Source organism: Homo sapiens, chromosome 6 (assembly GCF_000001405.40).
Source record: "Homo sapiens chromosome 6, GRCh38.p14 Primary Assembly".
Taxonomy (NCBI): Eukaryota; Metazoa; Chordata; class Mammalia; order Primates; family Hominidae; genus Homo; species Homo sapiens.
Genome location: NC_000006.12, coordinates 18,835,665 through 18,837,358, shown reverse-complemented (window position 1 = coordinate 18,837,358; position 1,694 = coordinate 18,835,665). Strand labels below are relative to the sequence as shown.

The 1,694-nt window shown below is 39.5% G+C and overlaps 1 non-coding gene across 1 annotated transcript; it reads right to left on the bottom strand.

The window, feature by feature from the left end:
* Positions 1–1,116: 1,116 nt before the first annotated feature.
* On the bottom strand, positions 1,117–1,188 carry TRQ-CTG1-1 (tRNA-Gln (anticodon CTG) 1-1). Its single transcript has one exon. It is a non-coding gene; the product is annotated as a tRNA-Gln (tRNA).
* Positions 1,189–1,694: the final 506 nt, after the last annotated feature.

The window sequence follows — 1,694 nt, the reverse complement described above, 5'->3', positions numbered from 1 at the left end:
TAAATAATAGGCTATTCTTTAACTGATTCCATTCACAACCCCAAACATTCTTTGGACACTGTGAATGGTGGTGAAATAAACTTGGAATAGTCTGTGGTACATAGAACAAGCTGGAACCTTTCTCTTCAGTGCATATGCCAAGAAATAATTCATTTTGGGTCATTAGATTAGAGAGACAAAATTAAAAACAGATTATTTAACTGCCAGCATAGTGTCCCAAAGAAACTGAGCCCTTTCTCTTTTCTCAAATAACTGTTGTATTTATCAACTGCATCTTCTAGCTAAACAGCAATCTTCTTTACGTAAGCAACCTTCTCCATTCTGGGATGTCGTTTACAGTCATACGCCATTTAACAGTAGGGATACATTCGCAGAAATGTGTCATTACGTGATTTCATTGCTGTGGAAACATTACACAAACCTAGATGGCACAGCCATCTGTGCTACACACCTAAGCTACATGGTATAGCCTATGGCTCCTAGGCTACAACTCTGTACATCATAGTGCTGTATGAATACTGTAGGCAACTGAAATACCATGGTAAATATTTGTGTATCTAAGCATACAAAAGGTACAGTAAAAATATAGTATTATAATCTTAGGGCACCACCACCACACATGCTGTTCATCATTGGCTGAAACCTCATTATACAGCCCATCACTGCACTTACTAATGTGTCAGTGACACATTGTGACACAGACACATTGTCACAAGTGTCTGTGGGTCAGGGTACATGGCATGAATTAAACCATCCTATGACCTCTCCTCTCTAGCTAGTGTTATTTTAAAAATAAGAATCTGTAAGGAATTCCTTTGGAATCTCTGTATATGACCAACTGCCTGTTGGATGAAAGAATAATTTCTGATTTTGTGGACCTTTTTTTTTTTTTTTCTGAGACAGAATCTCCTTCTGTCACCCAGGCCGGAGTTCAGTGGCAAAGCTCATTGCAGCCTCTGTCTCCCAAGTAGCTAGGATTATAGGCGCCTGCTACCATGCCGGCTAATTTTGAATTTTTGTATTTTTAGTTTTACCATGTTGGCCAGGCTGAGTTTCAACTCATGGCCTCACGTGATCTGCCCACCTTGGCCTCCCACAGCACCCAGCCAATATGAAAGGTTCCACCGAGATTTGAACTCGGATCGCTGGATTCAGAGTCCAGAGTGCTAACCATTACACCATGGAACCCTCCTCCCTGCTGTTTTATTCTAGAAATTCAGGCAGCAGAAAGCGATTCAGATGACTAATAAGACACTCATCGTAAAGATCAGTAAAGCCAATGAAAAATTCCAAATCCACATGCATATTGATTTTGTATGTTATTGGCAAAGCTGGATTAATTGACTTTTCACTATATTCTCTAAGTCGTACTTACTTTTGATAAAAGCCTTTATAGCATTCATTTATTAATTCCTTCACCAACATTCATTGAGCATCCGCTACATACCAGACATTATTGTGACACTGGGGATACAGTGGTAAATGAGAGAGACAAAGACCTGCCCTTTATCCTGGTAAGCAATTTTTATTCCAAAGAAATATCATAATGGCCATACAGAAAGATGATGAGCTAGAAAGTTGACTTGCCTGAAAACTGGACAGCCTGGCACTGGCTCTGTCACTCCTATGTGCCTTCTGCTCTCTTGAGTTCAGGTAATTTGTTTACAAATGAGAGAACAGAATAAATAAACTTT